This window comes from Homo sapiens, chromosome 2 (assembly GCF_000001405.40).
Source record: "Homo sapiens chromosome 2, GRCh38.p14 Primary Assembly".
Classification (NCBI taxonomy): domain Eukaryota; kingdom Metazoa; phylum Chordata; class Mammalia; order Primates; family Hominidae; genus Homo; species Homo sapiens.
This window is the reverse complement of record NC_000002.12, coordinates 236768426-236782997: the sequence shown is the minus strand read 5'-3', so window position 1 is coordinate 236782997 and position 14572 is coordinate 236768426. Positions and strand designations below refer to the sequence as shown.

Genomic DNA, 14572 nt, shown 5'->3' with positions numbered 1-14572 from the left:
CTTCTTATAAAATAAAGCATATTTGTACTCAGAATCCTAAAGCCACATGGATTTCAGAAAACAATTTCTTTGGAGCTCCTAGAAAATGATGGAATCAATAATGTAACAGACATGGGAACTGACAGAAATGTTACTGTCCCACAAAGAGCTCCTTCTACTTAAGTATTTCTGTGGCAGCCCGTACACTTTATGTTTGTTTTAACACAAGGACTAATCAAAGCTACATTCCTTAGTGAACACCAGAATGGCTCAGCTTTCTTATAACACAATTTCTTGCAGTACACATGTAAATTGATCAAATGGAAAAAGCAAAAGTAGGGAATCTGGTTAAAGTGCTGAAGTATTGCCTCTCTTCTTCCTTGCAAAGCAATTAGCCCAGCAGCATTCCATTTCGTCTCCTATTTTGCTAAATAGACAAAATCTGTGCTTCTACTCTATAGCGAATAACTCCTGGGGATATTGTTTCAAAGAGCATTGATTCAAAGAAGGAAGGTGAAGCAAAACCTTGACTAAACAGATTGCTGATGGACTGTGGTTCTGGATAATTGAATTTTCCAGTTAACCCAAGAACTCTGTCGCTCTCTGGCCTCCCTCACTCACCCGGCATATCCTCCTCGCCCGGGAATTTACCAAAACACAGCTGTGGTCTTCGCAGTTGCTTGCCCACAACCCTTTTGTTTTTGTGCTCTAATTTGCTTGAACATTCACTGTGAAGTCCTTTTGTGTCTCAGAAACGAATGTAGAGAGGCCGTAGGATGAGAACCCGCCCCTGGATCTCGGCTGACTTTCTGGGTTTGATGCGGACCTTTCACCCGTGCTCAGGTCATCTCAGTCCATTCTCACACACCTTCTGCAGGTCAGAGATAAAATTAGAGCTGCACGCCAGGATCTCAGTGAGGTAGTGGCAGTGATTATGATGGTGGAAAAGGTAGGGGTGGGAGGGAAGCCAGGCGCAGGCAGACAAGGAGGCCGTCCTCTAGGGAAGAGGTCACGAAGAAAGTAACTCCTAGGGATATTGTTTCAAAGAGCATTGATTCAAAGAAGGAAGGTGAAGCACAACCTTGACTAAAGAGATTGCTATGGGCTGTGGTTCAGCAATGATGAGGTGCTGGGGATGGTGATGAGGGGGGACCAGATGCAAGGAACTTTTTAGAAATGGTAGTGACTTTCTAGAAGCAGCAGCTTTTGGGCTGGCAGAGGTGACTCTGGAAAACAAAGACAGGTGATATCCCCAGAGGTAGATTGTGAGTAGGAACAGAAATAGGAACCAACAGACAAGAAAGGCACAGGGCGAGGGAAAGATGCTGACTTCATCCAGGACACACAATTTTGGTGTCTGTGGACCAGCTGGGCTCATTGGCTACTTAACCTACCTCAAATCCAGGGTGAGCCTTGACAGAGACTCCAGAGATGGGGAAGCAGATGTGAACAATGACACAAGCTTGAGGCTGTAGAATGAGGACGAGTGTGAAGGGAGAGGGAATAGAGAAAAGAGAAAACATCAGCAAAGGCAGAACCAAGAGCTTTCAGTATTTCTGTAAGGATCCTTTCCTTATTATGTGACTAGAAAAATAGTTAAGTCTCAGAATGCCTACAAAAATGAATTTTGGAATTAGATCCTCAGTCTTGGATTTATTCTGTTTTCACAGAAATATATAATATACATAATATGTATATCAAGCTTGTCCAACCTGCGGCCCTCGGGCCACATGCAGCCCACAATGACTTTGAATGTGGCCCAACACAAATTCATAAACTCTTAAAACATTATGATATTCTTGAAATTTTTTTTAGCTCATTAGCTATCATTAGTGTTAGTGTATTTTATGTGTGTATGTGTGGCCCAAGATAATTCTTTTTTTTTTTTCTTGAGACTGGGTCTCACTCTGTTGCCCAGGCTGGAATGCAATGGTGCAATCTTGGCTCACTGCAACCTCTGCTTCCTGGGATCAAGTGATTCCCCTGCCTCAGCCTCCTGCATAGCTGGGATTACAGGCATGTGCCACCATGCTTCGCTAATTTTTATATTTTTAGTAGAGATGGGGGGGTTTCACCATGTTGGCCAGGCTAGTCGTGAACTCCTGATCTCAGGTGATCCTCCCACCTCCGCCTCCCAAAGTGTTGGAATTAATAGGCATGAGCCATCACGCCAGGCCCCAAGACAATTCTTCTTCTTTCAATCTGGCACAGGGAAGCCAAAAGATTGGACATCCATGATGTATATTGTATAGAAAGTATAACTTTCAAAATTTTAATGAGAATTAAAGCCAGAGATATCTGGCCATATTTACATCGAAAGAGCAAAAGATCAGATGATTATCAACAGCTGAACATGTGTTTGTGCATTTGTGTATGTGCGCAGACGTATGAAAATGTATACAAGTGTGGTGGGTTCTCTATGGACCAGATATCTGTGGTTTTGGAGCGAGAGAGCACTCATTCCTTTAAGTTTCCACCTCTGGGTTCCAGGGCTCTATGACTGCAGAGCCCTGGTGGATTTTGGGGTGTGACAGGAAGCTGAACTGAAGGCTGTTCATCCCTCGGAGAGCCAGGCAGATGTGGACGTCCCTCGCACTGTGGGGCAGTCTTTCAGTGGTGTGGCAACCGGAGAAGTCAGAGGAAGTCTGATGCCAGAAAGTGCTTTTCCATTTCTGCCTGGCCCTTTGATCTTCTCACCAAAAGAAGATTTTCTTTAAAAATGTATGATGGGCCCTAAAAGAAGAAATAGGCAAATTGGACTATATCAAAATTTAAAACTGCTGCATGTCAAAGGACACAGTCAACAGAGTGGAAAGACAACCTGCAGAATGGGAAAAAATACTTGCAAATTCCATATCTGATATGGGTTTAATATCCAGAATATATAAGCAACTGTTATGACTCAACAACAACAAAAAATGGGCAAAGGACTTGAATAGACATTTCTCTAAAGAAGATATATAAATGGCCAATAACCACATGAAAAGATGCTCAACATCTGTGATGGTTAATATTGAGTGTCAACTTGATTGGATTGAAGGATGCAAAGTATTGTTCCTGGGTGTGTCTGTGAGGGTATTGCCAAAGGAGATTAACATTTGAATCAGTGGACTGGGAGAGGCAGACCCACCTCAGTATGGGTGAGCACAATCTAATCAGCTGCCCATGCAGCTAGAATAAAGCAGGCAGAAGAATGTGGAAGGACTAAACTGGCTGAGTCTTCTGGCCTTTATCTTTCTCCTATGCTGGAAGCTTCCTGCCCTCGAATATCAGACTCCAAGTTCTTTGGACTCTTGGACTTACACCAGTGGTTTGCCAGGGGCTTTCGGGCCTTTGGTCACAGACTGAAGGCTGCACTGTCAGCTTCCATACTTTTGAGGTTTTGGGACTTGGACTGGCTTCCTTGCTCCTCAGATTGCAGATGGCCATTTGATGCAGACGGCCTATTGGTGAAGCCTATTGTGGGACTTCACCTTGTGATCATGTGAGTCAATACTCCTTAATAAACTCCCTTTCATATATACATCTATCCTATTAGTCCCGTCCCTCTAAAGAACCCTGACTAATACAACATCATAAATCATTAGGGAAGAACAAATGAAAACCACAGTGAGATATAACCTCACACCCTTTTGGATGGCTACTATCAAAAACAGAAAATAATAAGAGTTGACAAGAATGTGGAGAAATTGGAACTCTTGTGTACACTCCTGGTGAGAACATAAAATGGTGCAGCCACTGTGAAAAAACAATGGTAGGTCCTCAAAATATTAAACATATAATTATCATACGATCCAGCAATTCCACATCTGGATTTATACCCAAAAGAAATGAAAGCAGAGACTTCAACAGATATTCATACACAAATATTCATAGCGGCAGCACGCACAATGGCTAAAACACGGAAGCAACCCAAATGCCCCTCAGTGGATGGCTGGATAAACAAAATGTGGTCTGGCCCGGCGCGGTGGCTCACGCCTGTAATCCCAGCACTTTGGGAGAGCAAGGCAGGCAGATCACGTCAGGAGATTGAGACCATCCTGGCTAACACGGTGAAACCCCGTCTCTACTAAAAATACAAAAAATTAGCCAGGCGTAGTGGCGGGCGCCTGTAGTCCCAGCTACTCGGGAGGCTGAGGCAGGAAAATGGCGTGAACCTGGGAGGCGGAGCTTGCAGTGAGCGGAGATCCCGCCACCGCACTCCAGCCTGGGCGACAGAGCGAGACTCCGTCACAAAACAACAACAACAACAACAATAAAATGTGGTCTATCCATACAATGGAATATCATTCAGCCTTTAAAAAGAAGAAGAGGCTGATACATGCTCTGACATGGATGAACCTTGAAGACGTGCTAAGTAAAATAAGCCAGACACAGAAAGCAAATACTGTATGATTCCACTTATAGGAGGTCCCTAGAGCAGTCAAAGTGATAGAGACAGAAAATAGAGACAGAAAGTAGGATGGTGGTTACTAGGGGAGGGAGAGGGGAGTAGGAAGTTAGCGTTTAGTGCGGACAGAGTGTCAGTTGGGGGAGATGAAAAACTTCTTGAGATGTTGACGAAAATTGCACAAAAATGTGAATGTACTTACTACTGAAATGTACTCTTAAAACGATTAGGATGATACATTTCATATGTATTTTAGCACAATTAAACATTTTTAAAATAAAATAAATTCCTTAAAAACATCCAATAAATTTTCAGCTTCTTCCCTTTGCCTCATATTATCCTTTCAATCAAGGCACAGACCTCTGGGTAAATATAAGAAGGCCTTCTTAGGGGCAGGCAGCTTTGGGGCCCATTTGGACTTCACAGTAATTCCTAAAAAAGAAGATGTGTGTAAGGTCACAGACCAGCTTCTGCATGAATGGAGGCAGACACCAGCAGCTCATTTAGGCATGACATGTTTTCCACTCATAATTTTTAAAGGTGCTCTTAAGCCAAGCTTCTTAAAACCTGGCCCCTTATAGTTACCTCCAGCAGCTTGAGTGGATGAAGTGACTTCCCACTCTACGGAAGAACATTTCCAGTCTCGGACTGCTGTGAGCATAAACCCTTCCATGACTAGAGGGACAGCCAGCAGGTCCAGGAGCAAAGTGTCCCTGTGTGTTAGTGACCTGGATCCTTCTTACCTGGGACTTGCTCCATCGAGGTCTCAGGGGTGTCACGAGGACAAGCACTGGCCTTTCTCACAGAGGTGGGCTTTGGGGATGGCCAGATGACGGTTGAGCAATAACAAAATGGAACAAGGATGCATTCGTGTCTGGGTCACAAGTCAGGATCTCAGTCCCTGTAAATCACTCCCCTGGCCAAGGACACTTGGTGGCCGTCACTGCATACAGCAGCCCTCCGATGGCCCAAGGCTGCCCTGAAGAAGGAGTCCGTGTTCAACACGGCCACAGCAGTGCAGACGTGTGTGGGGTCGTCAGTTCCCCTGGCTTGGCTGGCTCATCCTTCAGATGTAGAGAGGCACCACAGTGGTTTGTTGGTTTCACATCCACCAAAGAAACACATTTTACTTCTCAGAGAAAAGAGATGTTAAACTTCTCCAATTTGGGCAAGCTGCCAGTGACTGCTAGGAGCAGAGACCCTTCCAGAACACCTCACCTTAGCAGGTCCTGCTGAGGAGGAGAAGAAAGGAAAGGTGGGGAAGCACTCCTTTGTAACTTTATTTTGGTCTCATTTAAATGTGTTAAAATGAACATGCATTACTTCAGAAAATAAAAAAAGAAATGCACACATCCCCCAAAGGTGAAAACAACTGGTGCTGGTTACAGACGCTGGGTGTGAGCTGCCCCTGGGGCACATTAACGTATATTCACTATCAGGGAACAGGCCGGGGTGAATTTGAATATCAGATTTCATGTGAACAGATGTTAAAACCAATGAAATAATATTTGTCCTGGCAACGCTGCCCAGGATAAACATGATTACTGATTTAAAAAAAAAAAAAAAAACAAAAAAAAACAGTATCAGAGCAGATGAACACATACCGGGTCTACTGAAGTTGAAAAACAGCTTATTGTGAGGCTCGCCTGAGTCAGAAGCTTCTCCTCAATGTCAATAAAAGAAGACAAAGTCAAAAATCTCTTTGCTCCTTGCGGGAATCTAGAAAGAAATATGCCAAGAGACACCGGGCATGACTCATGGTTTTCTTATGATTCCCACAAGGAAAAACCAAAAGCATAGAGCTCAGTCCATGACAAATCCCAGGAGAGGTGACCTGGCAGAGTGGTTCCAGTGGGGCAGACACAGGGTTTAACCAGAGGCCTGTGTTTCTAGAGCCAGTGGCTGGTGGATGATGGAGAGACAGGTCTCAGGGGAAGAGTAGACCACGATACTTAAAAGGTTCAGCTGTAGTTTGCACACTTTTCTGGGGAGAGAACTTTGGGGTCTACTAGCCAGAGAATAATAGAATTTGGTGGGAATAACAGCTTCTCACCAGAGGCTTTTTGTGAATGTCTAATTCACATCTGCAAGGTCTGGATCTCAGTAGAACGTTTTCAGAGGTTTGAGTGCCACGCAGCTACACTTGCCCTTATGAGGCAAAGGGAATGGAGGCCACAGGCCATCGCCCTACTCTGGTTACGTAGTCTCTCACGCTCACCACACTTCAAAATCCTTGATAAAGATAGTAAAACAATTAACCTTTATCCTGTGCCATAGGCAAAAGCTGCTGCCAACGAAGCACCCCCTAGTCTTATGAAAACTGCTCCATCGAAGGTGGATACCTTGCCATGCAGCCCACCTTAGTGGTCACAACCCCGGCCTGGACCCAGCTCCGGCTTCCCACTGTGGGGATAACCACGCACACAGCCCTGGTTCACAGCAGGCTTCCAGGAGCCCACTCAGATGGGAACCTTGGAAAATGCCTACGAAGGATTCCAAATGAACATCATTCCAAAGGTTCAAATAAATTCCATAACGTGTCTATGAAATGTCTTTGAAATGGGTTAGTGCCTATGAAATAGACAAAAATAATACCTCTTAAAGTACAAAAGGATCATAAAGTGTTTGCAATTCTTTTGTAAAATGTCAGGGATTATTCCCACATTTGCTCACTTTCTTCTCTATAGTTATCTTCTCAATCACTGGGAGCAAAGGCATGAAACATCTTTGTCTGAAGATCTCTAATTTTACTCACTGTAGTTAGAAGTATAATGATTTTGTTTGTTGGTTTTGTGTTGCAGTGTTCTTTGAGGAAGAGTAATATAACCGTTTTTCTTTAACTTTTGTCAAGAGCCCTTAGGATGTTAGAAACCCTCAGAACTTAAAAAAAAAAAAAAAAAAAAATCCCTGCCTGAGAGTCTGTAAGTTGCTACAGCTGTTGTTTCTAAAAATGCCTGTAACCCTCGTTTTCCAGAAAAGGAAAGTATAATACACATTTTTAACCAGTAACTCTCATAAAATATCTACTATGTTAACAGGATTTCACTAGATTATTAAAAATACACAAAAAAGCAACTATTTCCACATCTTAAATGCTCAAATAAATTATGACCTATCTGCACAGTGGGAGTTGTTAAAATACAGCTATTAAAATTATGTTTTCAGAGAATTTTTAATATTGGAAAAATGCTCACTATATGACGTCAAGAGAAAGTAAGCCGGATATTAAGCCCTATACACAAACTTCATTGTCCTGATGAAAAATTGGCTCATTTTAATGTAGTTACAATGTATGGAACACTCATTATATGCCAGGTTAACAGGCAAAACTCAGCTTAGTTTACCTCATTTGTTCTTTTCAAACTTTCTACAGGTAGATACTATCCCCATTTTATATGAGAACACTGAGGCTCAGAGAGGTCAAATAATCTGCTGTCAGCACTCTTGCCTGGTAAAAGTGGCATTTGCAGCCCAAGTCCCAGCTCTAACCCTCCATATTCAAACGTGCGGTTCCAGGACCCGAGCATCAGCACCAGACCCTGCCCCACTCGCACCTTCTGAATCAGAGCCTGAATTTTCTCAAGATCCCCAGATGATGCATATGTTCCTTCAGCTTTGAGAAATGGCTCTAAACCATGCTATAAAGAATAAAACCTCCGAGAAAATGCATTGGAATGTTAACAGTGATTAACTGTGATTTTACAAGTGATTTTCATTTTCTTTTTTACATGTTTTTATATTTCCTAAATGATTTCCATGAGCAAATATTTCATCTACAATAAGAAAAGTGTTGAAGTGAACATTCCATCTTCTTCATTTGTTGATACAATAGAACGTAGATCTACAACATCATAAATTGCAAAAAAATAAATTTGAACCAATTCTCCCCCCTCTGCCCCTTATCACCCCCACTCCACCCCTCACCACCCCCATCACCAAAGTCCAGATTTATGAAACGCAACCACGGATATTCATGTAACCAGGGGCGGGTGCGCTTACCTGGAGCTGTCTCTCCCCCAGGGTGGCTGCAGAGGCTGTGGCTGCACCTGGGGTGACGAAGGGAAGACTTCACCACATTCATCAGTTGGTTCAGGGGCTGGGCAAGTGAGTGGATTCAAGGATGGCATGCAATCCATGCAGACGGATGCTGGATTCTTGGGAGATGACAGTGCTGTCACAGCCTGATATCAGAAGCCTGTCCATCCGCAGCTGGCAACATGGCCCCCACATGCCTTCCACCCGCGCATGGGCCCATCCTGACATCGCGCTGCATGAGAGGCTTCGTGATGACAACACTGAGCACAGTGAAAAAGACCAGGCCAATGGCAGGCAGCTGTGCCGCTGCTTTTCCCCTCCAGCCATTGCCACGTCATCAAAGCAGCTCAAAAAGCACCAGGCCTCTTAAATGCTTTCTAAAGGGCCATTGCTGTGGTTGCAGACTTATCTCTGACTTGGTCCCCTGAAAGTGTTCTCCTTCATACTAAGCCTCTTGTCAAGTCCTGACACTTTAACTAGCATTGAATGGCCTGTGGGCTTCTCTGTCCCCAGGAAGGGAGCTCTGCCCAAGTGGCCATCTCCAGGAGCAAGCGTACGCGGTGCTGTCCACCCCAGGCCCCAGCCCCCACAGCATCCCATTCCCCACCCCTTTTATCCCCATGATATTGAAGGACAGGTTCCAGCCCCCCAGCCACAGCTGGTTCCCCAGGAGGTGGACACTTGGCCCAAGCCAGGCCAGCAAACCTCTCAGAATTTTTTCAGTTTGGATCTAAGAGATCCCAAGCCTCGTCAGCGTTAAGAGCTTTACAGTTAAAAAGGCCAGGAGGCAGCCTGACCAACATGGAGAAACCCAGTCTCTACTAAAAATACAAAAAAATTAGCCGGGTATGGTGGAGCATGCCTGTAATCCCAGCTATTCAGGAGGCTGAGGCAGGAGAATCGCTTGAACCCGGGAGGCAGAGGTTTGCAGTGAGCCGAGATTGTGCCACTGCACTCCAGCCTGGGCAACAAGAGTGAAACTCTGTCTCAAAAAAAGAAAAGAAAAGAAAAAAAAAGGCCAGGAGGTATCGATGGCCTCTTTTCCCTTCCCAAGCCAAGCGCCAGTCTGTCCAGAGAGAGCCTGTGAAAGGTGTTCCGATGTCTGGCCTGTCATTCCTGAGGCCTGCCTTCTGCAGGCCCCTGGGATGTGTCCGTCTCCTCCTGGGAGATGCTGAGGCAGCACAGCTGGCGTGAGTGGGTTTCTGCATCAAGCACAGCGTGAACTAGAGTGGATCCAGGGCAGGAGCCATCCCAGGGAAGAGACCAGCCGTGCCGACATGGACAGGGCTGGGGATCTCTGGATGGTGATCTGTGTCACCAAATGTGCTCAAAGAACATGTACAAATCTCACCAGAAAGAAACACAAGGTCTGGCGACTGGGTGAAAAGGTGCCTGCTTCTTTTCTGATGGGATGATGAAGCCCAGCCACCCTCGGTGGAGAGGTGTTTGAGCTGATTTCTTTCTCCTATCATCCTGTATTAGGGTGGCCCTAAATCCTTAAAAGAGAGTTTATAACAGCACATAGACACAGCAGGGATGGCCAGGAAGATGAGGCAGATTGCAGGTGCAGCCCCAAGCCAAGGAATGCCAGGAGCCCCCACAGCTGGAAGAGACAGGGAGTGGAGTCTCCCCTAGAGTCTGCAGAGGGAGTGCGGCCAACACCTTGACTGTGGGCTCTGGCCTGCAGAACTGCAGAGAACAAGTGTCTGTTGCTTTAAGCCATCAAGTTGTAGTATTTTAGTACAGCAGTCCAAGGAAGCTAGCACAGGACTCGCGTGCTGACATAGACGTTTGAATTGAGCACCAAGTCGTGCTGAGGACAGATATGTTGCAGTGTCAGCAGGAGGGACAAAGGCTTCTGAAGAATCAGCCACCTGAGACGAGTGATGAAAGATGCATAGGAGGCGGCCACTTTAGCAAAGACTGAGGCAGGAACACTGTCCTAATCGAGCCGTTCTTGAAAGGGCCAAGTGCTGGGGTAGCCCTGGGGCAGGATCTTCACAACCACCAGCCAAATGACCAGCTGGACCAGTGCATCCCATCCTAAGGTTTCTGTTGGTGAAATACATCAATAAACCTGCCACCCAGCAGCGTGATCACACAATGCTTTCGTCCAGGATATCTCACTCATTATAAAGGAAGTTGCAGTGATAGGAACTCCACGTAGACAACGACGCAAGGAAGTGACCAGAATGCCGTCTGTGGACATGGAACTGGGTGGCCCGAGTCACACATGAATCAGGGGACGGTCCCCTTTGATGCAAAGGGGTACAGAGGGTCAGGAGCTCCCCACCCTTTGCAGGAAAATGTTCTGTTCACAGAGCTCAAAATCATTGCAGATAGCAAGACACAGAGCTTCCGACATTGCAGAGGGGAATACAAATTTTCTGCTGGCCTTGGAACATCCTCACCACCTGGGAGGAGCGGAAATGGAAAGATCCTCTTTCTTGTTTCTCCCTTGCATGGATAGTCTCTTTCGGGGCACCTGTGGACTTGGTTTGGAAGTGCACTTCTCAGAGGGGAACCTGGCAGGAAGCAGTCCCTTCCCAGAGCAGAGAGCGCTGGCTCCCCTCAGCCATGGTAGGGCTGTGGCTGCCCCTGCTAGAAGGCAAGAGCCAGGAGGGCTATCCAGCCCTCTCACCTCCCTGTCTCTCACTCTCCCACCTCCAGGCATGGTGCCCCATCCAAAGGGGTATTGAGGGAGTGGGGACCCTGGAGGTGGCCAATACTCTATATCTGAACCCAGGCCCTGCACCCAGCACTTTCTCCGTGGCAGCTGGAATGCACACGCTGTCAGGATTGTGGATTCACAAGAAAGGAGTAGATCCTTAAAAAAAAAAAAAAAAGAGAGAGACAGGGCGCAGTGGCTCATGCCTGTAATCCTAACACTTTGGGAGGCCAAGGTGGGCAGATCACTTGAGGTCAGAAGTTCGAATCCAGCCTGGCTAACATGGTGAAACCCTGTCTCTACTAAAACTACAAAAAAATTAGCCAGGCGTGATGGTGGGCGCCTGTAATCCCAGCTACTTGGGAGACTGAGGCAGGATAACTGCTTGAACCCGGGAGGTGGAGGCACTGAGCCAAGATTGCACCACTACACTCCAGCCTGGGTGACAGAGTAATACTCCATCTCAAAAAAAGAAAAAAAGAAAGAAAGAAATGTGTCTTATTTTAACTGTTTTAGCTTTATTGGGGGAATAATTCACAACTAGAAATTGTGCATATTTAATTTGTACAATTAGTTGTTTTGATAGATGTACACATTGTGAAATGATCACCACATTCAAGCCAGGTGACAGACCCATCACCTCACATTGTTGCCTCTTTTTGTGTTGAGACATTAATTTTCACTCTCTTAGCAAATTGCAAGTGTGCAATGCAATATTGTTCCCTATGGTCACCAGGCTGCACATTAGATCAGCAGAACCTAGCTTGCACAAGGGAAATTTTGTACCCCTTGACTAACATCTCCCTATTTCCCCAGCCCCCAGCCCCTGCCAACCACCATTCTACTCTCTGCTTCTATGGGGTTGCCTCATTTTAGGATTCCATGCAATGCATATCTTTCTGTGTGTGGCTTATTCCACCAAGCACACAGGTTCTTCCATGTTTCTCCAGGTTCATCCATGTTGTGGCATGTGTCAGAATGCCTTCCTTTTTAAGACTGAACAAAATTCCATTGTATGCATATACCACATTCTCCATTAACCCACGGAGGGGCATCTAGGCCGTTTCCATCTCTTGGCTGTTGGGAATGAGACTGCAATGACCATGGGGGCACAGATAGCTCTTCAAGATCTAGGTTTCCATTTTTTCAGGTGTTTATCCAGTAGCAGGATTGCCAGATTCTATGGTAGCTCTATCTTTAATTCTCTGAGGAACCCCCATATGGTGCTAGTAAATTCCCAACGGAACCCCTGGTAGCACACACAGCCCTGGGTCCACCCTGGCAGAGCTGTGCATGCTTCCACCTGCCCCTTGGATCCCTCTAAGTCCTGAGTCACTGCAGCCTCACTGTGAGCCTGGCAGAGCTGAGCCTGCTTCCACCTGTCCCTCGGATCCCTCTAAGTCCTGAGTCACCGCAGCCTCACTGTGAGCCTGGCAGAGCTGAGCACTGCCATCTTGGATCCCTCTGAGCTCTGAATCACTGCAGCCTCACTGTGAGCCTGGCAGAGCTGAGCACGCTTCCACCTGCCATCTTGGATCCCTCTGGGCTCTGAATCACTGCAGCCTCACTGTGAGCCTGGCGGAGCTGAGCACTGCCATCTTGGATCCCTCTAAGTCCTGAGTCACTGCAGCCTCACTGTGAGCCTGGCAGAGCTGAGCATGCTTCCACCTACCATCTTGGATCTCTCTGGGCTCTGAGTCACTGCAGCCTCACGGTGAGCCTGGCGGAGCTGTGAACACTTTTGCCTGCTATCCTGGATTCCTCTGGGACCTGAGTCACCGCATGCAGCCTCACCATGAGCTAGTGTCTGCTCCACCTGCGGTTTTCAGACCCCGACCCAGGCAGGGCATCTGCAGACAGAGACAGGAATTTTGCCCAAACCAGATGCAACAAGCACATTCACATTCTTCTCCCCTGAGAGAATGCAGCCTTTGGAGCCTGTCACACTGACCCAGCTCATCAGGTTTGAGCCACCCCCAGGGTCAACACACTCAGGGGCAGGGAATTTGTATCCTTCAACCTAAGGGGATCTTTTTAGCTCTTATTTGTCCAGAGTCACAGAAGATGAGCAGTGGGGGGAGGAGGATGGTATCTCCGATTTTGTGACCTCACCCCTGCCCATTGCCCTGGGAGAGCATCTGCAATAAACCCACCCAGGGGAAGGTGCTGGGCACCCCCCAGCTGTTCCTCGATTTGCTCAGCATAAACACCTGATGGCCATTTTTAATTACCTTCCACGGAGCTGGTTCCCGAATGTCACCAGAGGGAAGACTGCATCCTAAAGTTTCTAGATGCCTCCCTGTCTGCTCCCAGTTCTCCTAGGAGTGGGCACCAGGTAGGTCAGTGCCCACCTGCCAGGGAACACTGCTTTTTGAACCATCCATGGTGAGCACCTTGAGCTCACCTCCTTCGCTGGTCCTGGAGATCCTTCCTCCACCCTGCCCGTCCTACTCTGCCCTTCATCCTGTGCCCCAACCTGGGCCCAGGATCTCATTGTGGCCATTTGTTTTATCCCAAGCCATTGTGCTGGGATAGGAGATATGAAGGTAAGACCCTTTCCCTCCCGCTCTCATAGCACCCATGGTCCCATGGAATGGATCCCATCGAGTCATGATGACTCCAACACTTACCTAGCTGCCCTTGTCTGAGCCTTGGGGCCAGACATCTGGATGCCCAGCTGCCATCTCTGTCTGATTTCCTGTCCCTCAGCACTTCCTGATGAAGCCCCCCTGCCCCATGTCCCTCCTGCAGGAACTTTTCTTTACCCACAGGACAATTCTAGACTTCAGATCCCCCTTTTTAGCCTTATCTCCCCTCCAACCACCCCACTGCCCCTCCCTGGACCTAGCATCTTATTGCAGATGCTCCTGGAAGCCCCTCCCTATTCCCCTTGGCTCCTTCCTCTCCAGGAATCTCCTCCTTCTGCCCCCGCCATCTAGAGCTCTGCTGGCATCTGCTCATCTGGGACAAAAAAAAATATTTTGAAAACCACAGCTATTTCTCATGCTAGGGGGTAGGGGAATAATAAGGCCTTGAGAGAGCCAATATTTGGCACAGAAAGCATGGAGTCATGGAGAGAGAAAGGCCAGGGCCTCTCACAGAAGGAAGGGCTGGGATGGTGGGGGATGAAGGCAGCCTGCATTGCCTGGGTGCAGAGAACATCATGGCTTCCACTGGGAGAGACACCCTGGGAGAGGACTGCACTGCCTTGTGTCCTGCTGATCAGTGGCCTGACTCTGGTCACTTGGTTCTAAGGCAGACAGAGGTCATCATCGAAGCCTGGGGAAGCTGGGGCACTTGGGTGACATTCCCAGCCCACCACGTGACCACTGCCTGCTCCTGATTATGTGCCTCATTCCTGCCACAATGTGGAGAAAACCTGTGTGGGTCAGAGAGGTATTTGGGCCAAATCCATTTTTCCACAATGCGGTGCCATACCAAGAGAAAAGGTTTCTGTGTTAAGGTGCAAATCTGGAATTGGAAGCATTTTTGTATTGTCA

At 47.0% G+C, this 14572-nt stretch overlaps 1 long non-coding RNA gene across 4 annotated transcripts, besides 2 other annotated features; it reads right to left on the bottom strand.

Moving 5' to 3' along the window:
* Positions 1-1604: 1604 nt before the first annotated feature.
* Positions 1605-13846, bottom strand: LOC105373949 (uncharacterized). Of its 4 annotated transcripts, XR_924026.3 has the most exons (5): positions 13703-13846; positions 8369-8664; positions 5974-6088; positions 5113-5598; positions 1605-2712 (listed from the first exon to the last, which is right to left on the bottom strand). It is a non-coding gene; the product is annotated as an uncharacterized LOC105373949 (long non-coding RNA). The 4 variants fall into 4 exon arrangements; XR_007088139.1 differs by lacking the exon at positions 5974-6088 and having other exon boundaries at positions 5113-5601; XR_924024.3 differs by lacking the exon at positions 13703-13846 and having other exon boundaries at positions 2231-2712; positions 5113-5601; positions 8369-8475.
* Positions 8100-8600: an enhancer, noted in NCBI's record as "H3K4me1 hESC enhancer chr2:237683041-237683541 (GRCh37/hg19 assembly coordinates)". NCBI's record gives its function as "activates a minimal SCP1, AML or CMV promoter by ChIP-STARR-seq in primed H9 embryonic stem cells {active_cell/tissue: H9 hESC(primed)}" and the evidence as "EXISTENCE:reporter gene assay evidence [ECO:0000049][PMID:30033119]".
* Positions 8601-9101: an enhancer, noted in NCBI's record as "H3K4me1 hESC enhancer chr2:237682540-237683040 (GRCh37/hg19 assembly coordinates)". NCBI's record gives its function as "activates a minimal SCP1, AML or CMV promoter by ChIP-STARR-seq in primed H9 embryonic stem cells {active_cell/tissue: H9 hESC(primed)}" and the evidence as "EXISTENCE:reporter gene assay evidence [ECO:0000049][PMID:30033119]".
* Positions 13847-14572: the final 726 nt, after the last annotated feature.